The sequence below is a fragment of the Homo sapiens genome, chromosome 21, assembly GCF_000001405.40.
Source record: "Homo sapiens chromosome 21, GRCh38.p14 Primary Assembly".
In the NCBI taxonomy this organism is placed as follows: Eukaryota; Metazoa; Chordata; class Mammalia; order Primates; family Hominidae; genus Homo; species Homo sapiens.
The window spans coordinates 39,067,411-39,090,875 of record NC_000021.9 but is presented as its reverse complement, the minus strand read 5'-3'; the positions used below and the strand labels follow the sequence as shown (position 1 = coordinate 39,090,875).

At 45.5% G+C, this 23,465-nt stretch overlaps 1 long non-coding RNA gene across 2 annotated transcripts in view, besides 1 other annotated feature; it reads left to right on the top strand.

The window, feature by feature from the left end:
• The first annotated feature begins 6,342 nt into the window (after window positions 1-6,342).
• The window catches only part of LINC02943 (long intergenic non-protein coding RNA 2943), a 56,010-nt gene continuing 38,887 nt past the window's right edge, over window positions 6,343-23,465 (top strand). The window contains exons 1-3 of one of the 2 annotated variants that reach the window (XR_001755055.2): window positions 6,343-7,715; window positions 8,732-8,822; window positions 9,937-10,127. This is a non-coding gene — a long non-coding RNA (long intergenic non-protein coding RNA 2943). The remainder of the gene's footprint in view (window positions 7,716-8,731; window positions 8,823-9,936; window positions 10,128-23,465) is intronic. The other variant, XR_001755054.1, reaches the window with a different exon arrangement.
• Window positions 14,955-15,741: an enhancer, noted in NCBI's record as "OCT4-NANOG hESC enhancer chr21:40447061-40447847 (GRCh37/hg19 assembly coordinates)". NCBI's record gives its function as "activates a minimal SCP1, AML or CMV promoter by ChIP-STARR-seq in primed H9 embryonic stem cells {active_cell/tissue: H9 hESC(primed)}" and the evidence as "EXISTENCE:reporter gene assay evidence [ECO:0000049][PMID:30033119]".

The following is a 23,465-nucleotide window of genomic DNA, read 5'->3' as shown; positions in this document are numbered from 1 at the left end:
ATTCTTCCTTTACTTATTTTGCTGGTGTGTTTTGAGGATCAAATTAGCTACTCTGGGTAAAAATACTGAAAAACAGCCTATTTCAATATTGAATATGGGCAGTGTTGTTCTTATTAAAGGGAACTAAATCTAGTTCCTGTTGTAAGTGAATGCATCTTTTCTTCATAGAAACGTATCTTTCCCCTCCCAGGTTGCTGATGGAAGGTGCACCTTCTGGAGGTTTTCTTGCCCCCGGATGTCCACTGAGAACCCCAACTGTGGCTTTGGGGGCTCCTCCTTCCTCTTACCCTCAACCTGGGACTAAACAGCCCTGAGACAATGCAAGAGACGTGCAAAGCCCTCTGTTCTAGGCCCAAGGGCAGCAAAACAGTGAGCATCACCGGCTCTGGACTGCCCGCTCAGAGGGAGCACTTCCCAGTCTTTGAAGGCCTCTGTGTCCAGGGGCTGCCACCTAGAACCAGGGGCCCTAGTGCCAGCTGTGGCCTGAGATAGGCCAGGTTGGATCCTGGCTCTGACATTTACCGTATATGTGAGTTTGGATGGGCCACTTAACCTTTTATAGTTTTATTTTCCTCATTTGCAAAAAGGGAATAATAATAAAACAACAACTTCCTTTTTTTTTTAGAGATGGGGTCCTGTTTTGTTGCCCAGGCTACTGGAGTGCAGTGGCACAATCACAGCTCACTGCAGCCTCAAACTCATGGGCTCAAGTGATCCTCCCACCTCAGCCTCTTGAGTAGCTGGGACTACAGGCATGTGTCATCACATCTGGCTACTTTTTAATTTTTTCAGAGATTGGGTCTCACTATGTAGTCCAGGCTGGTCTCAAACTCCTGTAGTCTCAAACTGGGACTACAGGTGTGAGCCACCATGCAGGGCCTAAACACAACTTAGAAAATTGCCATGAGGATCAGATAAAATCACATACAGCAAGTACCTAGTGTATGACTCTGTGAGGGCCACCTAACAAAATACCACGGACTGGTGGCTTAAGCAATAGACATTTGTTTCCTCCCAGTTCTGGAGGCTGGAGTCCAGGATCAAGGTGTGGGCAGGGTTGATTCCTCCTGAGGCCTCTCTCCTTGGCTTGTAGAAGGCCTCTTCTCCCTGAATCCTCACAGGGTTGTCCCTCTGTGTGTGTCTGTGTCCTAATCCCCTCTTCTTATAAGGACATCAGTCTTATTAGATTAGGGCCACCCAAATCCACCTGCTGAATGAGTTCCCTGGGCCTGCTGTAACAAACCACCACAACCTGGGTGACTTCGAACAGGGGTCCCCAACCCCGGGCCATGGACCAGTATGGACAAGAGGCGAGTGTGGGCGAGTGACCATTACCGCCTGAGCTCCACCTCCTGTCAGAACAGTGGCGGCGTTAGATTCTTATAGGAGGTTGCGCCTTATTATGAATTGTGAGGGATCTAGGCGGTACGCTCCTTATGAGAATCTAATGCCTGATGATCTGTCACTGTCTCCCATCACCCTCAGATGGGACTGTCTAGTTGCAGGAAAACAGGCTCAGGTCTCCCACTGATTCTTCATTCTTGTGAGTTGTGTAATGATTTCATTACATATTACAGTGTAATAATAATAGAAATAAAGTGCACAATACGCATCATGCCCTTGAGTCATCCTGAAACCATCCCCCCCGTGTGTGGAAAAATTGCCTCCTGCAAAACTGGTCCCTCGTGCCAAAAAGGTTGAGGACCGCTGGCTTAGAACACAGAAATTTGCTCCCTCACAGTTCCGAAGGCCAAAGTCAAGGTGTGGGCAGGGTGGCCCCTGCTGGCAGCTGCATGGGAACATGTATTCCAGGCTTCCCTCCTGTTCCTCATGACCTCCATCCTTGGCCTTCCTTGTATGGAACCAGCATCACTCCAGTCTCTGCCTCTGTCTTCACACGGCCTTGTTTGCAGGATCTCCTTTTCTGTCTCCTATGAGGACACGAGTCATTGGATTTAGGGCCCGCCCTCATCCAGGATGATCTCATCTAGAGATCTTTACCTTCACCCTTTTTCCGTTTAGAAAATAAAGTGCAGCTCACTGCCAGTACTCATTTTTTACATAAACATGCTCTTTGAGGCTGAAGCAAATCTGATGGATTTTCAATGTGAAAATAAAATACAAAAACTGTTCTTGGAGTTATTTCTGCACAGAACTAACATCAGAATCGTCTAAATCATCAGAATCATCTGTTTCGGAAGAATCGGATTCATCAAATGAATCTCTGGCCAATAACTGTTTTCAAGAACAATGTTAACATCACGTGCAGGAATGCGACGTTTTCTAGGATTTGACATTTTCAGCACTCGAGAATTACTATAGTTTTGTAAATGGAAATACCACTACTAAAACCAGAATGCTATAAATGGAATGATGTGTTTTGTTTCCAAAGTCAATACACTAGAGCGATTTGAAAATAATAATAAAAGCAAGGTATTTTGCAGCAAAGTTATCTTGGGGTAAATGCTGCTGGGGAGTATTCTTGGGCAAGTGGGAAAAGGGTTAATGATATCTACAAAGACCCTTATTCCAGTCAAGTCACATTTGGAGGTTCTGGGTGGACATATCTTCTGGGAGGGGGCACCATCCAACTCACGACACCCAGGTAGCTCCTACAAATGCTGACGTCAGGCTGCACCGAGGTCAATTACATTACAGTCCCTGGGGCTGGGATCCTGGCATGGGGCGTGTTTGAAGTTCTGGGTGATGCCCGAGAGCAGCCTGGAGTGCAGAAGTGAAAGGAGCCTTTGTATTTTCAGTTGCCTTTAAATGTCCGAAGAACCCATCCTGATACAGGCTCAGAGGAGACCCTCTTGGGGGAGGGGCTCAGTGTGATTTGTGCCCAGCCTTCCAGTCTTGTCTGGTTCTAATCGGATTGTGGTGGGGTGTGTGTGTCCTTTTCTGTAAATGAAGCACATGAGCGAGCAGTCGTGGCCACACCATGCCCCGGCTTCAGTGTAATGTGTTATTTCTGGCTTTCCTACACCGAGACAGCCTTGGCTTCAGCGAGGCGCTGTTTGTTGCAGCCGGGCAGGGCCGCTTTGTAATCTGAATCTCTGGTGGTCCCACGAAGGTCTGGAACAAAGCGCTTCTTCAGTCCTCGATGTATTCACAGTTTTCTCATAAGAAACCATGAAGTCAGTTTTGTTGGAGTTGTCAGCTGGGTTTCCAACAGAGTGCTTTTGATCCACAAAAGGGTTATTCAGTGCTCCCTTCAGTCTTAATTAGCTGTAGACCCTCCGGATGGCCGGCCCGGTGGGCCTGGAGTGCCCTTTGTCTGGTTTCTATCCAGCCCGCAGGCTGCGCCCTCCTCGGCGATGCCCGCTGGCAGCAGACCCCCGGCGGCAGCTCTGTCCCTGCTGCCCCGGCTCAGACCCCAGCTGGCTCCTCGTGGGGTTGAATCAGAGAGAATTTGAGCCTCAGACGTCAACTTGGGGATCAGCTTCCCAGAGTGCTGTCTCAAGCTGTTGGTCCTGGATCCGGTTCACTTTTAAGGAAGGGGGTGAGAGCCTGGCTGGAGCCCTGCACGGGGAGGGGCTGGCCCTGCCTAGAGACAGGACATGAGTGTCTGAGAGCACTGACCTGGCACCAGCATGAACTCTATTTTGGGCTTTGCCTTGCCCAGCTGTGGGGCCTAGGGCAACCTCTTGTCTGCCTGACTGTCCCCACCTGCAAGGTCATTATGACAGCAGTACCTATGTCGGGGCCAGTTGCATGGGATGTAGTTAGCTCCAGGGCCAGGAAAGGCTTCTCATCATTGTAACCGCATTGCAGCCGTGACTGTCTCTGAGAATCATGTTTAGTTTAAGAAGCACAGTTTGATCATTGAAGATCAATGTAAAGGAAATCCCATCATTTATTTGCACTTCTGGAAGTATATTAAAGGGGATCCAACTTATCCCCAGCACCCCTTCTCATTTCATTTCTCCTTCTTCCGGCATTCCAATTTTCCCACACTCTCTGACTGCGTCCTTCTGACCTCCTTTCCAATGCCTCCCTCCAGCCATGACTGAAGCTCTTCTTCTCTTCTCTTCGCAGTTCTCCTTGATCTCCAAACTCAAATGCCCCCCAACATAGGGTAGGAGCAGCGTCCTCCTGGGAGGGTGCAGGAAGGGCAGAAATCCGGGGTGCAGAGCCAGATCCCTCCAGAGTGGGCCAGCAGAGGGCAGTGGCTGAGGTCAGCTGTAGGTTAACAGTTATTTTGATATTAATAATACGTAGTGATTAATTTGAACATAGGTCTGTTGAAGCCAAATCCAAGGTCCTTCTCCCCGCTATTTTTTTTTTTTTTTTCTGAGACGGAGTCTTGCTCTGTTGTCCAGGCTGGAGTGCAGTGGCCTGATCTCGGCTCACTGCAACCTCTGTCTCCCTGGTTCAAGTGATTCTCCTGCCTCAGCCTCCTGAGTAGCTGGGAATTACATGTGTGCACCGCCATGCCCGGCTAATTTTTGTATTTTTAGTACAGACAGGGTTTCACCATGTTGGCCAGGCTGGTCTCAAATTCCTGACCTCAAGTGATCCACCCGCCTTGGCCTCCCAAAGTGTCGGGATTACAGGCATGAGCCACCATGCCTGGCCCCCTTCTCCCTGCTAAACAGCAGGTTGGAAGGGCCTGTACCTTAGAGGCAGGTTAACTGTAAGGCATGGTTTTCAGGGGGTGCTACTGCCTTCTTGTTTTTGTAAAGGATCCAAAGCTCACTCCTAGGCTGCTGGACAGACGCCCAGTTGATCTGGAACCATTCTAAGGGTGTGGGCAGATCCAGAGACATTCATCTGCAGCAGTGGCTGTGTGGTTTCTTGCTTTTGTGATTGACCTCTATGCTGCCATCCAACACTTACTGAGCACCTTCATGATCAAAACTCTCTGGGGTGCTGAGTAATTTGACGGAATGAAAATAAGACAATAAATATTGACCCTGCCCTGATCGGACTATCACTTTTATTGGGGAAATAAGACAAAGGTTCAAGAGAGCCCCAAAGTGCCAAATTCTCACTGAAGGCAACGGCTTCTTCACCTTTGGAGAGCAGGTAGATCAGCCAGAGCTGGAAAGGGCTGGGGAAGTTTCCTGGATGAGGGGTGCTTGAGCTGGTCTGGGAAGGGTGAGGGAAGAGTGGAATAGGACTGGAAAGGGGTGGCAAGGGCTTGGAGGGCTCCGTGTGTTATCTGTAAATGAGTAGGACTGGAACAGAAATGCAAATGTTCAAGCCAACTTAAAGGGGACCCCCGGCTTTGTTCAGAGCCATCACTAGAATGAACAGTTCATGTTCATATAGGAGCAGAGGGGTATTTGTTCTGTACTTTAAGCTAGTAGAGAAAGCACACCCCACATTGGACATTGCACTCCTGGGACTCTGAGGCAAAATGCATAAGGCATGGGGCAATTCTTTTGCAGCGGTAGAGCAAGATAGATGAAACTGGAGCTGTGAGAAGTTAGCCAAACTGAGGGCAAGGCCTGCTCTCTCCCCATACAGCAGCCTTTCCTGCAAATACAGGTGCCTAAGGAGCTGTATTCTGGCCCCTGGGAGAAGGAGACAGCAGGCAGCTCCTTCTGGCCCAGATGGGGTGTCCTGGGCAGTCAGTGGTGAGGAAAACTCATTCACTTCTCTTAGAAGCCAGGGAGAGCCCCCGTGCTGACTCAGCACCAAGTACCACACTCTAAGCTGTGACCAGGACAAGTGCATGGCCTTGGGAAGCTCACAGTCTAACTCCAGTGGCTCTCACCTGGAGGGTGGGGCCTCATCCCGAGTTTCTGACTCAGGAGGTCTGGGGTGGGACCCAAGAATGTGCCTAACAAGCTCCCAGGTGACACAGGAGCTGCTTGTCTGGGGACTCCACTTTGAAAATCACTCATCCAAAGTAGGATCTCAAACTTTAGATGCCTGAGAATCACCTGGCCTGGTTTCTGGAGATGCTGATTCATAGACTGGGGTAAATGTAAAGGCGTGGATTTTGACAAGTGTCTGGAGATTCTGATGCCCATCAGTACTCGAGAACCACGGGCATATGGGGGTGCTTGTTGAATGGCAGCTGCCCAGAGTGGGAAGCTGGCTTCTGTAGCTGTGGGACAGGGTCTAGAACCTGTATTTTTTTTTTTTTTTTTTTTTGAGATGGAGTCTCACTCTGTTGCCCAGGCTAGAGTGCAGTGGCGTGATCTCAGCTCACTGCAAGCTCCGCCTCCCGGGTTCACGCCATTCTCCTGCCTCAGCCTCCTGAGTAGCTGGGACTACAGGTGCCCGCCACTGTGTCCGGCTAATTTTTTGTATTTTTAGTAGAGACGGGGTTTCACTGTGTTAGCCAGGATGGTCTCGATCTCCTGACCTTGTGATCCGCCTGCCTCGGCCTCCCAAAGTGCTGGGATTACAGCCATTAGAACCTGTATCTTTAGCAGGCACCCCAGGTGACACTTGTGCTGAGCATGTTAGAGACACTGGCCAGAAGGTGGAGGGAAGGTGGGAGTGGCAGCTCCTCCTTCACTGTGGAGGAAATGTCTGTTCTCTCTTTGTGAAGCCCTGATTACCTCCCACCTCCCACAGCCAGGTCTGGCCACACAGCAGTACAGCCACTAGCGTGGGCCCAGTAAGTGCCCGGCTTGGCAGTAAATGGACCCAGTAAGTGGGTCCGTCATGTTGTACTTGGCACCCAGCAAGCTGCCCACATCATTTGGTATTCTCAACTGTGGAAATACCCAGAAGATGTTAGGAAAATGTTGACCTTGCTCAAACTCAACAGGGCTGGGTCCTGAACTTCACCTGAACGTCACAGGGTGTCCCTGCCCACCAACATTCAGCTGCTGTTGACTCTTTTTTGCTTAGAGACTCGGTGAGTCTCTGTGGTGTTTTGTATCCTTACCTCCAATCTCCCAAGAAAGTAGAGATGCTATCCAAGGGCTGATGATATGCAGGTGGTCATTCAAAGATGTGCACCTGAATTCTCACTCATCTTGCACCAATAAGGTTTATGCAACCTGCTGCAGTGAGTCACGCCACTCCCACCCCTGCCCCACCCCCACAAGCCCAGGAGATATAGAGAGGCTAAACACCAGAGCTTGCAAAACAGAGTGCAGTTTAAACAGGATCTTGCATCCTAAACAAAAATGTTCCAGCTCCACCCCATGTAATTTTGTGACGAGTAGTTTAGGGAGATTCCCTTCAAAGAAGTTCCAGAAACTGGAGGGAAATTTGAGAGGTCAGAAGACGGGGGAAGAGGACGAAGGGCTGTTTTTGCCGGAAAGTTCTTTTGCAGGGCAATCATGACTGTAAAACAGAGAGGAAGGATAATTCAGTCTCATGCAGCAGGCGTGGAGCCCGTGAGCCCTCTTTGTCCTACATTGAACCAAGGGGTGGGGTGGGGACTCAGGTGCCAACCCGGCTCGCACACACACTGGTGGGCTCTGTTTTTGAATCCATAAAAATGGGAGGAAAGTGTCCTTTCTACTCCCTGCACGGGGAGATGGGAGGAAAGTGTCCTTTCTACTCCCTGCACGGGGGAGATGGGAGGAAAGTGTCCTTTCTACTCCCTGCACGGGGAGATGGGAGGAAAGTGTCCTTTCTACTCCCTGCACGGGGAGATGAGAGGACTGGCGTGGATGAAGCTGGCTTCCCCGGCATCACCAGGCCACCATCCAGGCCAGCCCAGTGACGGGCCAGGAGCCAGAACCTTCCCTCTCCAGGCGTTGGATTTTATTGGGAGACCCAGCTGGAGGAGCAGGAGGACTGTAAGTGCAGCAGCGGGTCGGAAAATGGAAATGGCTTACTACCTTTGGCATGCATTTTTGCAGATATTCTGGGGAAAGTGGACTGTCCCGCCTTGTGACCACTAGTTATTGTTTACCTTTGCATGGCTTGTCATAGCACTGGGACAATGGGGGCGCAGCGCTTCAAGCTTGTGAGAAGCCAAGGGACTCCCAGGCCAATAAGCAAGTGCATACTTGTCCTAATGATCGTCGTCACAGGGTGTCCCATGCACCTAAGTTCATACCAGGGGGCTGGACAGGGGTGTGGAAGGCGGGGCCGGAGGGACGGGGGAGGGGTGGGGAGGCCAGCACAGAGCGCATGCGCAGTATATGCCCGCACCTGGAGCGGCAGCCCAGCCAGGTGCCGGGACTTGGCGTCAGAAGACAGCTGTGAGGCTTTTCTCTGCCACCGGCAGGTGGGTTCAATGACTCTGAACAAAGCATTACATTCCTTTGCGTCTCAGTTTCTTTATTTAAGAAATGACAACATACTCAGCTTGCCAGCCTAGCAGTTGTGGGGTTCTAGTGCAGTGGCTTGCGTACCGTCCGTAAACTGTTATGTGAGAATAAAACATTTATCATCATCCATTTCTGCTCCACAAAACGCTTTGAGTCAGTTTAGTTATTATAAAGTGTGAATGTGGTGAAGATGCTGATGGATGACTGAGGAGCAGCCATCTCCCCGCAGCCTCTCTCGGAGTCTGCACCCACTTGGCCCACAGCCTTGGTTAGGGGTCTCCTGTGTGTGTCAGCCCCGTGAGCTGAGTTTTTGATGAGGGTAGGGGTTCCTTCCTCTTTGGGTGCCATGACCTCTATGGACCCCTTATTAGGAGAATGCTTTTAAATGTATAAAAGAAAACACTCTGGGTTACAAAGGAAATCAATTACACTGATACATAGTTACCCAAATATTTTTTTTTAATTTGTGCTCTTTAAAAAAAATTAATTTTTTCATAGATCCATCAACAGTCCTGATAACTACTCTCATTTCCATGTAGTGATGGGCATGAACGCTATCCTGAGATTCCTGGAACAGATGTAGTGTCATATGAAAGTAGCTGTGATTTCTAACTGGTGACCAAGTACCAGGTACTGTTTTTGCTTCTGTGGCTTGTTGTGTACATTCACGATGGAAGGAAGTGCTAATGTTCAGCTAGAGATTAGTGAAAAAAAAGTCATAGTTTCTCTATGCAAGTTCCAGACTGCTGGAATTCTGTCCACAGACAGGACACTTTGGGGGTCTGTGATTAGACCCCTCGAATGAGAGCTTCCCTACCAGGAATGTCTGCCTGGCACCTGTGCTCTTCTCCTTCTCCCCCTCCTTCTTCTCCTTCTCCTTCTTCTCCTTCTCTTCCTCCTTCTTCTCCTTCTCCTTCTTCTCCTTCTCCTCCTCCTTCTCCTTCTCCTCCTCCTTTTCCTCCTTCTCCTTCTCATCCTCCTTCTTTTTTTTTTTTTTTTTCCTGAGATGGGATCTTGCTCTGTCACCAGGCTGGAGTGCAGTGGCGCAATCTCAGCTCACAGCAACCTCCGTCTCCCAGATTCAAGCGATTCTCCTGCCTTGGCCTCCCGAGTAGCCGAGACTACAGGCACGCGCCACCATGCCCAGCTAATTTTTCTATTTTTAGTAGAGATGGGGTTTCACCATGTTGGCCAGGATGGTCTCGATCTCTTGACATCGTGATCTGCCTGCCTTGGCCTCCCAAAGTGCTGGGATTATAGACGTGAGCCACCGCACTTGGCCCTCCTTCTTATGGAGGGGGAAGGAGAGTGAGGGCTGGTGCTGAGGGGCGGAGACCTCGCCCTGACCTTCAGCAGGACATGGAGCCCTGGGGTTTTTGATGTTCTTAGCTGGTGACTTAGAAGGATGCCACCCCTTTTGACTTGGGGAAAAATTGAACACCTCAAAAAAAGGAAGACATAGAGACCCAAACCACAGAGCTCCCAGCAGGATAAATGGACAGGGATTGAGAGGGGAGCCTCTCAACTGAGTGGGGCGCCACCCTCACCAGACCCCGTTTTCCTAATCACACACGGGCTGGTGATGATGTCTGCCTAGGATTCTGGGGCTCAGATATTTTGCTGTAACAGGCTGGTGACTAAAATTGCTTTTTATAATGTTATTTATTTTTAAAATAAACCTTAGGGGATCTCTTTGTAAGTGTTGTAAAATAAAGACGGTATTCTCTGGGCTGATGTTTCACAGGATTTGTTGCCATTTATAACCCCCTGGGTGCTATCAGATGTGCTGAATGCTGGAAGAATCAATACTCTAATCTTTGGTTCCAGAGAATCTGACTCAGGTTCATGAAAAATCGGAACTTTCTCTGGTGCGAGCTTTGCTTATAACTTTGGCATAGGGGACCAGGAAAGTCTCACGGATGCAAAGAGACATCGGTTGGTACCTATTACTTTTTCACATTTTAAAATTGATTTTTAATTGGAATTTAATTGTTCCATTTAGAATTAATGTTATGCCCTGGCCTCTTCAGGAAATAGATGAACATCCCATTGCTCCCCACAGGGAAAGCCATTGCTGGCTGGCCTCTGCCCTGCTCGCTCTCCCTGGCAGCACGGTGGAGCCACAGGATAGAGCTGCCAGGGGCTCCCAGAGCCCTGAGAGCTGCTCCTGAAGGGTGCTTTAGCCAGCGGCTTCAATCTCCCTGGCTGTAACTGACAGCAAGAAGCCCATGTTCTATTACATGTGTGCATATACATATGTGTAAAACCAAAAACAATTTAACAAAATATGTATATACATACGTACATATGTATATATGTGTGGATGTGTGTATATACATATGTAGATATGTATATATGTGTGAATGTATATATATATACATACGTACATATGTGTATATGTGTGAATGTATGATATATACATTGCGTATACATATATATAATAGGAAAGGTTTATCTGAATAATACTCCTTTTTTTCCACCTTTTTCTTTGTTGTTTTGAGATAGAGTCTCACTATATTGGCCAGGCTGGTCTTGACCTCCTGTTCTCATCAAATCCTCCCACCTTGGCCTCTCAAAATGCTGGGATTACAGGCATGAGCCGCCGCGCCCGACCAGTACTTACTCTTACCATACACTATGCACACTGCACGCTGACATTGTTGATTCTAGTCTTCGTAAGTGCGCCTGTATCCTTATGTAGATGACATAAGCAGGTATACACATGTGCGTATTACTGAAAAGGTTCAACAATACAGTATTTCCCCCAGATGTGCTATGCACTCTGACCTGTTCTAGTTTCATGTTTGTCCATTGCCGGCTGCGGCCATTGGAATGGATTTCGTAACTTGTTCGTGGGTTGCGACTCTGCAAAGACTGCAGCTTGAGAACAGGATCTTGCAGGCGTGTGGGCGGGAAGGGGTGAAGCCTGTGACGCAGCCAAGTGTTTCTTGGAGGCTCTTGCAGGGGTGGGGTTGGGGCGCCGCTTCTAGTGGCTTCCGCATTTGGGTGCCCCACTTGTGCTTTTTCGCCTTTTCTCCTGTCCCTGACCTCTGCCTGCCTCCATTTCCTCCAGACTTTATTTTTTCTTTTAATTGAATCCATAGCCCCACGTGGCACTTATGAGCCATCTCTGTGGTGTTTCTGCACCTTCTTCTGTTTAGCCGCAAGAGAGTGGCCAGGTGGGAAGGCCAACTGACTTACTAATAGCTCGTGGCTCTGTGTGACCACTACAGATGGCGTGTCTCATTCCATCCCACAGCCATCCTATGAAACTGGTACTATTCTAACCGGGTTTTACAGTTGAGGAAACTCAGCCTCCTCTAAGAAATGACATGCACCAGGTCCCTCAGCTAAAGGGGGAAAGAGCGGCCTTCAAACCCAGACCTGCCAGGCCCCAAGACCTGAGTTTTCCGTCTCTGTGCTGTCCTGCCTCTCATTTGCCTCTTCTGGAGACAAGGTTATTTGTTTGTTTTTGTTTTTTGAGAGAGGGTCTCACTGTGTTCTGTTGCCCAGGCTGGAGTGCAGTGGTGCAGTCATGGCTCACTGCAGGCTTGACCTCCTGGGCTCAAGCGATCCTCCCTCCTTAGCCTCCTGAGTAGCTGCTGGTACCACAGGTTCACCCCATCATGTCCAGCTAAGTTTTTAAGTTTTTGTAGAGATGGGATCTCGGTACATTGCCCAGGCTGGTCTTTAACTCCTGGGCTCAAGCAATCTGCCCGTTTTGGCCCCACAAAGTTCTGGGATTATAGGCCTGAGTCACTGTGCCTGGCTGAGACCATAGTTTAAACAAAGAGTTCTGATAATTTTCTTTCCTAATATCCTCTTCTTAATGGGAAGCAGCTCCTTAGAATTCAGCTGTCAACTTTGCCCAAGTTTGGGAACATTTCAAGATGTCTTGGGTGTGAAATTGATTTTGTTCTGCTTTTTAGAAATACCAGGAGTAAGAAAAGTTGCCGTCAGTGTTTCTTTGTTTGTTTGTTTGCTTGCTATTTCCTCATTTCCTCACCTGTTCTCTGTGTACCTGTTTATGGTGGGGGTGCCTGTTGATATTTGACTGGTGGGAGGGAGGTGTGTAAGCATACTGGTGAGGTTTAGGTACTTCTGAGGAGCAAAGAACTGCGCAGCCATGGGGTAGGATGCCCTGTGTAGGTAGTGAGCTCCCCATTACTAGAGGTATCCAAGCCAACTTGCCAAAGAAAACCTCCAGGAATGCATCATTTTAAATACCAAGGATTTAGTATAGTGCCTGCACACAGTAAAGGCTCAGTAAATGCTTGTTGGGTGAATGAGCTTTTGAGCATGAGCGACCCTTTCTCCCCTGATAAATCTCAGAAAGGGTGAATGTTTGAAAGGACACCAAGAGATTGGTCAAGGTACTCATCAAACTTTTATTCTCAAAAACCACCTGAAAGATGGTAGCCTAACTCTTAAACATCAACAGAGAGCACAATGCTGCTCTTCATAGCAGAAGCACATCCCAAGATTTCACATATTTCATAATCAGTTTTAAAGGCAGTTCCTCAACTCTTCTGCCACAGGCTAAGTCCGTCTCCCTTGCTCATCCTCACTGGCAATAGAAAGCTAGGTTGGAGGAGGTGCCTCTCCTGTGAAACGGGGCACTTGGAAGAGGCTGCATCCACTTGGGCTTGTCCTAGAGCTGGGGTTGGCAAACCACGGCCTGAGGGCCAAATCTGGCCCTTTGTCTGTTTTTGTGAATAAATTTTATTGAAGAACAATAAACTTTTTATGGATTGTCTGTGGTTGCTTCATGCTACAAAGGCAGAGTTGAGTAGTTGCATCAGAGACCACCTGGCTTGCAAAGCCTAAAATATTTACTATCTGCTTATTTACAGGAAAAGTTTGCTTTCCTTGACCTCTAAAAAGATTCAGAATAAAGGCTGGAAAAATGAGAGGATATCATGATGAAGATGCAATTCCATTCCTGGGTATATATCCAAGAGAGCTGAAAACAGCACTCAAGAAATAGTTCCACACAAATGTTTGTAGCAGCATTATTCACGATAGCTAAAAAGTGGAAGCAACTCAGATGTCCGTTATTGGAGGCATGGTTAAACAAAATGTAGTCTTTTCATATATTGGACCATTATTCAGCCATAAAAAAGAATGGAGGACTGACACGCGTTACAACCTGGATGAATCTCGAAAATATTATGCTAAGTCGAAGAAGGCAGATACAAAAGGTCACATGTTGTACGATTCCATTTATATAAAATGCCCAGAATAGGGGCATTCAAAGAGACAAAAAGCAGATTAGTGGTTGTCAAGGGTCAGGGTGGGAGATGGGGGAGGGAGAATGGGGAATCGCTGCTTAATGGGTATGAGACTTTCTTTTGGGGTGCTGGAATGTTCTGGAACTAGATGGAGGTGGTGGTTGCACAACATTGTGAATATACTGAATGCCACTGAATTGTTCCTTTTAAAATGATTAATTTTATATTATGTGAATTTCATTTTAATTAAAAAGAATAATGGGGGTGCTAAGTGGTATGATGACATCCCAGAGTGTCACCTACAGCCTGGGAGTCCTTGATGCACCAGCCACTTGTGACCCCCCATCCCCACATTTATGCTGTATCTGTGCATAATGCATTTATGATGGTTCTAAGCCCCTTATGGGAACACTGTGTACATTTCCACCTCAGAGTATATTTCCATGAAGGAGGCAGGCAGAGTCTTATTATCCCTCTTTGGAATTTCTCCATCAGGTATGCCCCATCTGCTGCTGGTAAACTTCCCCATTCCAACCTTCATGGTGCTGGATTCCTGCACCTGCAGTAGTTCTTAGGTAAAAGACTTGTTTGCACAACATGTCTGCATTAGGATGTGCATACATTTCTTGGCAGAGTGGGGTTGGGTGTAAGCAGGCAGGGGAGTCAGAGAACAGAATGGAAATGCATTAACAAAGAGGGTCTTGTTATGGGGTTCTGAAAAGGACAGGATGGTGATGGCTTTGGGGAATGAGAAAAAGTCATCTCTCTTTTTCTCTGGGGAACCAGAGAAAAAGTCCATGGTCACAGAGAAATGGGCAATTAATATGAAGACAGGGGTCTTAGGTTGAGGAGGAGTGAATTTGTTGAAGCCATGGTTGCTGTGCTATGCAGTTTTGGAGGCACACTCACATCATGGCTATGCACATAGAGTTCTTGAGGTGGTATAGTGCACAGCCTTTGCAACTGTACATGGTGTCTTGGGTTAAAATCTATTCATCAGGCCAATCAATTAGCTTATTTTTTGGTCTCTTAGATGTTAGCATAATATAAACAACTTCAATGCTAAATACTACAATTTTAGTTACTGATGATAAAATATGTGTTTCTATATATCTATTAATCGAAACCAAATTCTTGTTAATGTTAAAACATTTCTGTTAAAGTTCTTAAGCAATCCTGTAAAACACTGCAGTCTGTTAGTTTGGCCAATATAACATCTTGGTTATTTGGTCAATTGGTATTAATTGAACAGATTTGTGGCCAATGCCCCAGGCCCCGAGCAAAGCCGTTGTCTGGCAAACGTCGACAATTGAGATTGTAGGTATACCACCGTTTGCACAAGCCTAACCCTTCTTGATCAAAGACAAATCAAAATCCCAAGGAGACTGTTGCGGGAAGTCAGGGACCCCAAACGGAGGGACCGGCTGAAGCCATGGCAGAAGAACGTGGATTGTGAAGATTTCATGGACATTTATTAGTTCCCCAAATTAATACTTTTATATTTCTTATGCCTGTCTTTACTGCAGTCTCTAAACATAAGTTGTGAAGATTTCATGGACATTTATCACTTCCCCAATCAATACCCTTGTGATTTCCTGTGCCTGTCTTTACTTTAGTCTCTTAATCCTGTCAGCCGAGGAGGATGTATGTCACCTCAGGACCATGTGATAATTGCATTAACTGCACAAATTGTAGAGCATGTGTGTTTAAACAATATGAAATCTGGGCACCTTCAAAAAGAACAAGGTAACAGCAATGTTTAGGAAACAAGAGAGATAACCTTAAACTCTGACTGCCGGTGAGCTGAGCAGAACAGAGCCATATTTCTCTTCTTTCAAAAGCAAATGGGAGAAATACCGCTGAATTCTTTTTCTCAGCATGGAACATCCCTGAGAAAGAGAATGTGCGCCTGCAGGTAGGTCTCTAAACTGGCCCCCCTGGGCATAGCCATCTCTTATGGTCAAGGCTGCAGAGATGAAATAGACTCCAGTCTCCCATAGCGCTCCCAGGCTTATTAGGAAGAGGAAATTCCTGCCTAATAAATTTTGGTCAGACCAGTTGATCTCAAAACCCTGTCTCCTGATGAGATGTTATCAATGACAATGGTGCCTGAAACTTCATTAGCAATTTGATTTCACCTCGGTCCTGTGGTCCTGTGATCTTGCCCTGCCTCCACTTGCCTTGTGATATTCTATTACCTTGTAAAGTACTTGATGTCTGTGACCCACACCTATTCACACACTCCCTCCCCTTTTGAAAATCTCTAATAAAAACTTGCTGGTTTTTGTGGCTTGTGGGGCATCACAGATCCTACCAACGTGTGATGTCTCCCCCGGGTGCCCAGCTTTAAAATTTCTCTCTTTTGTACTCTGTCCCTTTATTTCTCAAGCTGGCCAATGCTTAGGGAAAATAGAAAAGAACCTACATGAATATCGGGGTAGATTCCCTGATAGGAGACAAACAGATCCAACTGGACTCACCAATGAGAGGACCAAGAACAAGGTCAGGGCTCCCTGTCTTCAAGGGTCATGTGTGTTTTGGAGCATGCTGGGGCTATAGAGACATCCTTGGATGGGTTTGGACCAAATCAGATCTCTGGCCCATCAGACAAGAAATACATGTTTGTTGTTCTAAGCCACAAGAGTTGGGATTGTTATGTAGCATTATCACAGCAATTGCTGACTAATACAGTGGATCACAAGCCTCAGATTTAGAAAATTCCTGCTGTGCTTTGTGGGATAATTAATGGTTATAACTTTGGTGTGCAAATTATAGGTTTCTATGAGATTATTATGTAATTGAGCACTCTTATTTTGTAGATGAGGAAATCAAGATCTTGAGAGTTTCAGTGTCTTAGCCAAAGTCACAGAGAAGTGACTTTGAGCCAGAATTCAGTGCTCCTTTCCTGATGCTCTTTGCATGGTGGCATCACTGAAGACATTGGTGGGGAACTGGAATGGAACTGGAAAGCCAATGTTTGAAATTTCTTCCCCTAGGCATTGGCTTCATCACCCTCGTCAAGAACTTTGAAAGGGACATTAATGAGCAGCAAAATCAATTTGAATCTCATCTTTTGGTTCTTCTCCCCTGGAGAAAGACCTGAGCAAAAAATGGGTCAGCTAGGGGCATGTGGAATAGTGGATGGGTTACAAACAGGGAGAGGACAAGGAAAGGGATAAGGGGAATTCGGAAGGAAAACCTTAGAGGAGGAGAAAGAAAGCTGAACCCTGTACATGAGAAGGGAGGGAAAAAAAATGAAGATTAGAAAATAAATGTGGCTGATGGCAGAGAGATTTGGTTCCACACAAGCACACCTTTGGAATCAGCTACTGGTGGGAAATTAAATAGCCCCAAATCTGCTGGTTCATGGGGCTTCAGGCAAGTCTCCATCCAGCCTTCAAGTTGCTATGAGCAACAATTGTCCTTTAAAAACCACAGTCTTACAGAGCCAAAGACAGCAGATTCGACACTGGGTGTTCCCAAGGCCAAGTTGGAAGAGAATCCAGACAACAGCTCATACAGCACACACAGAATCAAAAACAGTCTTTTCAACCAGCCAGACACTAATTAAATTAAAGCAATGCTGGAGACAGCAGCACGTGGCAGAGGAGAGGTGCCAGGCCAAAGGGCTCTAGTTGCTTAGAAGCGAGTTCAGCAAAGAATAGGCTGAGGCATCTGTCACTTTTCAGTGATGGAAGCATTTTGTGCAGCAGCTGACGTGTTATTAGGTACACCTGTCCTCGGACCGGTGACATCGTTTGTGAGGCCCAGTGCAAAATAAAAATGCAGAACCCCTTGCTCAAAAATTACTGAGAATTTTAATACGGTGACTGCAGAGTTTTGAATCAAGTGTGGGGTCCTGAGCGCAAGGCCCTGTGTGGCTGTGTGGGTCATGCACCCCTGAAGCTCACCTGTCTGTTATGAATAGTTTAGGGTTAGGGTGATTACACTCATTTTAGGCGGAACAATTCAGTTATGGGCATGCATTAAGATGATGCTACATTTTGAACCACAACATAGGTATTAGGTACATTGCAACAACAGAAATTTGTGACCTACATGGGAAATGCAAGAATCAAGCTTTCTACTCCAATTAATTGTTCCTTGGAGGAATTAAGTTTCTGCTTCTCATTGTGGAAGCAGAAGTGAGCTGATGCCAAGCAATGAACCCTGTGTTTTGGCCCAGCCTCATGGAAATTCTCCCAGCCCGCCTCGTGGCACCAAACACATGTCTTTTCCAGGGAGTTTAGAGTATTTCAAAGATGCTTATTATTTAGGTTGCCAGATAAAATACGGGACATCCAGTTTCAACATGAATTTCAGATAAACAACAGAAAACTTTTTAGTATAAGTATGTCTGAAGGACATTACTTATAGTAAATACTTATACTAAACACTTACAAATAGTATACTAAATACTTATACTAAAAATTATCTGTTGTTTATCTGAAATTCAACTTGAACTAGGCATCCTCTATTTGTATTTGTTAAATCTGGCAACCTATAGAATGCATTTTTAAGATGCTGCCACTATACGTGGTCACCCCCAGATCACTGACGCATACTAAGGGACCAAGGTGGGATGGCATGTGAGAATGATGGCAAAAAAAAAACCCCAAAAGTCATGGGAACTGTTAGAATTCAAGTCTGTATTAGTCCTGGGGCTACTGTAATAAAATGCCACCAACTGGGTGGCTGAAAACATGAGAGATTTATTCTCTTGCTGTTCTGGAGGAGAGAAGACCAAATCCAAGCTCTGCAGAGCCGTAGGGAGAGATCTGTTCCAGGCCTCTCTCCCAGCTTCTGGTAGCCCCAGTCATTCCTTGGCTGTGACAGCCTAAGTCCAATCTTCTCATGGTTCTCGGTGTCTCCTCATGTAGTTCTTCCTTTGTGTCTGTGTCATTCCCCCCTTTTATAAGGACATCAGTCATACTAGGTTAGAGCCCACTCTAATACCCTCATTTTAACTTGATTACCTCTGTAAAGACCCTACTTCCAAAATTAGGTCACATTCTGAGATATCAGGGGTTAGGAATTCAATACATCTTTTTTGGGGACACAATTTATGCTATAACATTGTCCCACGACTGTCCAGGGCTTTTCTATTCTTAAACTTCATGGGATGGCCTGCATTTAGAGAGCTGGAGAACCCTTCTGTACTTGGCCTTTGTGTGATCAGTCTTAACTGAAGACAATTCAAAGAGGTGACAGCCACAGTGAATCAAGAGGTGTCAAATCCTGCAAGGGCAGCTCATCAGAGGACACAGGCATGGAGAGTTCCGTGGCCATCCATGGAGTGTCTATTCCACACTCTACCCATTGAGCTGCCATGTGGAAGTTTTCAAACAGAGTGACAAACACACAGCTTTACTCCTGCAGAGTAAACATTTCTGGCAATGCTTGCTTCATGGGAGCAGCCCACGCATTTTGCACAAATGTTATACAAGCAGCCTGTGGCTTTGGAAATCATGGATGGAAATTATTTGCAAATTCCTTTGGAGCCTTATAACAAATGTTTGCCTTGGTCTTGAAGCCTTAAACAAACAACCCCTCTACTTCAAAAATGTCTGCTAATGAGAAAGACATTTCAGCTGAAAGAAAAGAAGTGATCATTAGGAAAAAATGGACTGGATTGTGTTAACCAAGCAAAAGATCAGCCTGGGACTCTAACCACATTTGTTGCTTTTATCAGAAATTGGAGTGATAGTCGGTCTTTAGATAATATTATGTTGAATGGACTTAACAGTCATTTTAACAAGGACGGGCCTCTCTTATCTGGAATTGGCTATGTAAAATCAAAAGCCACCATGATATTATTCAAAGGAAGCCTTGGCCATTATGTGGGACAGGTTATCTGGCTTTGATCAGCCCTTTCTCTTGCTACTTCCTAGTGAGAAGAGGTGGATGGATAAGACCTTTTTGGCAGGTTGATAAATTGTGTATATTTCCAAGGAGAAGGCAAGCATATAAAACCATTTCTAAGAGCACTTTCAAGAATTTTAGCTTTAAAGCTTGTAGAGTCTTGCAGATCAGTGCTGACCAATAGAAACATGGGGTGTTTTTATAATGGAAAGTTTTCTTGTAGTCACATGTTAAAAAATAAAAAAGAAATAGTGAACTTCCAGCTTCATTCATGTCCTTTGACTAACACAGGAACAGAAAACCAAACACTGAATTTTCTCACTCTTAAGTGGAGTTGAACAATGAGAACACATGGACACAGGAAAGGGAACATCATACACCTGTCGGGGGATGGGCGGCAAGGGGTGGGAGAGCATTAGGACAAATACCTAATGCATGCGGGGCTTAAAACCTAGATGATAGGCTGATAGATGCAGCAAACCACCATGGCACGTGTATACCTGTGTAACAAACCTGCACATTCTGCACATGTATCCCAGTATTTAAAGTAAAAAAAAAAACAGTGAAGTTAATTTTGATACCATAGCTAATTTAAACCAATATATTCGTATCATCTCATCATATATTTGATATAAAAATGATTAGTGAACAATTTTATCTTCTTTGTCTCATTCTATCTTTGAAATCTTGTGTGTGTGTGTGTTTTAAATTATACTTTAAGTTCTGGGATACCTGTGCAGAATGTGCAGGTTTGTTATATAGGTATACACGTGCCATGGTGGTTTGCCGCACCCATCAACCCATCATCTACATTAGGTATTTCTCCTAATGCTATCCCTCCCCTAGTCCCCCACCTCCAGACAGGCCCTGGTGTGTGATGTTCCCCTCCCTGTGTCCATGTGTTCTCATTGTTCAACTCCCACTTATGAGTGAGAACATGCAGTGTTTGGTTTTCTGTTCCTGTGTTAGTTTGCTGAGAATGATGGTTTCCAGCTTCATCCATGTCCCTGCAAAGGACATGAACTTATTGTTTTTTATGGTTGCCTAGTATTCCATGGTGTATATGTGCTACATTTTCTTTATCCAATCTATCATTGATGGGCATTTGTGTTGGTTCCCAGTATTTGCTATTGTGAACAGTGCTGCAATAAACATACATGTGCATGTGTCTTTTATAGTATACTGATTTATAATCCTTTGGTTATATACCCAGTAATGGGATTGCAGGGTCAAATGGTATTTCTGGTTCTAGATCCTTGAGGAATCACCACACTGTCTTCCACAGTGGTTGAACTAATTTACAATCCCACCAACAGCGTAAAAGCATTCCTATTTCTCCACATCCTCTCCAGCGTCTGTTGTTTCCTGACTTTTTAATGATGGCCATTCTAACTGGCGTGAGATGGTATCTCATTGTGGTTTTGATTTGCATTTCTCTAATGACCAGTGATGATGAGTTTTTTTTCATGTTGCTGGCTGCATAAATGTCTTCTTTTGAGAAGTGTCTGTTCATATCCTTTGCCCACTGTTCAATGGGGTTGTTTGTTTCGTGTAAATTTGTTTAAGTTCTTTGTAGATTCTGGATATTAGCCCTTTGTCATATGGTAGATTGCAAAAATTTTCTCCTATTCTGTAGGTTGCCCATTCACTCTGCTGATAGTTTCTTTTGCTGTGTGGAAGCTCTTTAGTTTAATTAGATCCCATTTGTCAATTTTGGCTTTTGTTGCCATTGCTTTTGGTGTTTTAGCCATGAAGTCTTTGCCCATGCCTATGTCCTGAATGGTATTGCCTAGGTTTTCTTCTAGGGTTTTTATGGTTTTAGGTCTTACATTTAAGTCTTTAATCCATCTTGGGTTAATTTTTGTATAAGGTGTAAGGAAGGGGTCCACTTTCAGTTTTCTGCATATGGTTAGCCAGTTTTCCCAACACCATTTATTAAATAGGGAACCCTCTCCCCATTGCTTGTTTTTGTCAGGTTTGTCAAAGGTCAGATGGTTGTAGATGTGTGGCATTATTTCTGAGGCCTCTGTTCTGTTCCATTGGTCTATATATCTGTTTTGGTACCAGTACCATGCTGTTTTGGTTACTGTAGCCTTGTAGTATAGTTTGAAGTTAGGTAGCATGATGCCTCCAGCTTTGTTCTTTTTGCTGAGGATTGTCTTGGCTATACAGACCCTTTTTTGGTTCCATATGAAGTTTAAAGTAGTTTTTTCTAATTCTGTGAAGAAAGTCATTGGTAGCTTGATGGGGATAGCATTAAATCTATAAATTACTTCGGGCAGTATGGCCATTTTCACAATATCGATTCTTCCTATCCATGAGCATGGAATGTTTTTCCATTTGTTTGTGTCCTCTCTTATTTCCTTGAGAAGTGGTTTGTAGTTTTCCTTGAAGAGATCCTTCACGTCCCTTGTAAGTTGTATTCCTAGGTATTTAATCCTTTTTGTAGCAATTATGAATGGAAGTTCACTCATGATTTGGCTCTCTGTTTGTCTATTATTGGTGTATAGGAATGCTTATGATTTTTGTACATTGCTGTTGTATCCTAAGACTTTGCTGAAGTTGCTTATCAGCTTAAGGAGATTTTGGGCTGAGACGGTGGGGTGTTCTAAATATACAATCATGTCATCTGCAAACAGAGACAATTTGACTTCCTCTCTTCCAATTTGAATACGTTTATTTCTTTCTCTTGCCTGATTGCCCTGGACAGAACTTCCAATACTTTGTTGAATAGGAGTGGTGAGAGAGGGCATCCTTGTTTTGTGCCGGTTTTCAAAGGGAATGCTTTCAGCTTTTGCCCATTCAGTATGATACTGGCTGTGGGTTTGTCATAAATAGCTCTTACTATTCTGAGATACGTTCCATCAATACCTAGTTTATTGAGAGTTTGTAGCATGAAGGGTGTTGAATTTTATCAAAGACCTTTTCTGCATCTATTGAGATAATCATGTGGTTTTTGTCATTGGTTCTGTTTATGTGATGGATTACCTTTGCTGATTTGCGTATGTTGAACCAGCCTTGCATCCCAGGGATGAAGCTGACTTGATCTTGGTGGATAAGCTTTTTGATGTGCTGCTGGATTTGGTTTGCCAGTATTTTATTGAGGATTTTTGTATCAATGTTCATCAGGGATATTGGCCTAAAATGTTTTTTTTGTTGTGTCTCTGCCAGGTTTTGGTATCAGGATGATGATGACCTCATAAAATGAGTTAGGGAGGAGTCCCTCTTTATCTGTTGTTTGGAATAGTTTCAGAATCTTGTGTGTATTTTATACTTGCAGCACATTTTAATTATAACTTGCTGCATTTCAAGGGCTCAACAGCCACAGTAGGTAGTGGCCATTGTATTGGGCAGCTCAGCTCTAAATCTTTGCTACTTAAAGTGTGGGCTGCAAGGACCAGCAGCATCTGCATCAACTAGGGGCTGTTAACATGCAGAATGTCAGGCCGTGCCAGACCTACTGAATCTGCATCTGGATTTTAATCCGGTGAGAGGCTCTGATCTAGGGAGCTTCTCTTCAGACCTTTCAGCCCGAGGAAGGATGCATCCATTCCATCTGGGTGCACTCTGGGAGGTGGTGGGTTATCTAAGTTCTTCTTCTACTTTCCCGAAGAGTGATTTCCCGAAGCTTTTCTGCCTTTCATGGGTAAGTTTAGATTCCCATATACAGGACTCCTGTAAACGGCAGTTCCATCCTGTGAAATCTACGTGGAGGTCAGTCCATGCATTGCACCTTTGGCTTATTTGCATACTGATGCTGGGGTAGATGCAGTCACGGCAGACACACCTGTGGCTAAAGAAGGAAGCCTGGTGAGGATGAGGGTGTGTTAATGGAGCCTCTGCCTCCTTAGGTGTCTGAGTGGAGCACTGGGCCTGTGTGTGTGGGTGCCCCTCGCTGAGGCCGGCCAGCGTGGCTGGAGCAGGGTCCAGGCAAGGGTGAATTCGCTCCTCGCCAAGTCCTCTTGGTGTCTCTATTTTCCCATCGATAAAAATGGAGCTTACAGCCCCAGAGGGCAGTTTGTTGAGATTGGAGAAGACATTTGAGAGCCACTGGGGAGTGACGGAATGAAGTACAAATGCTGGAAACCACACAGATGTGCAGATGCGATATGGAAATGTTGGAGTGATAATCTCCAGGCAGGAAATCCAAGAAATTCCCAAGTTAAGATTTTTACCAGAA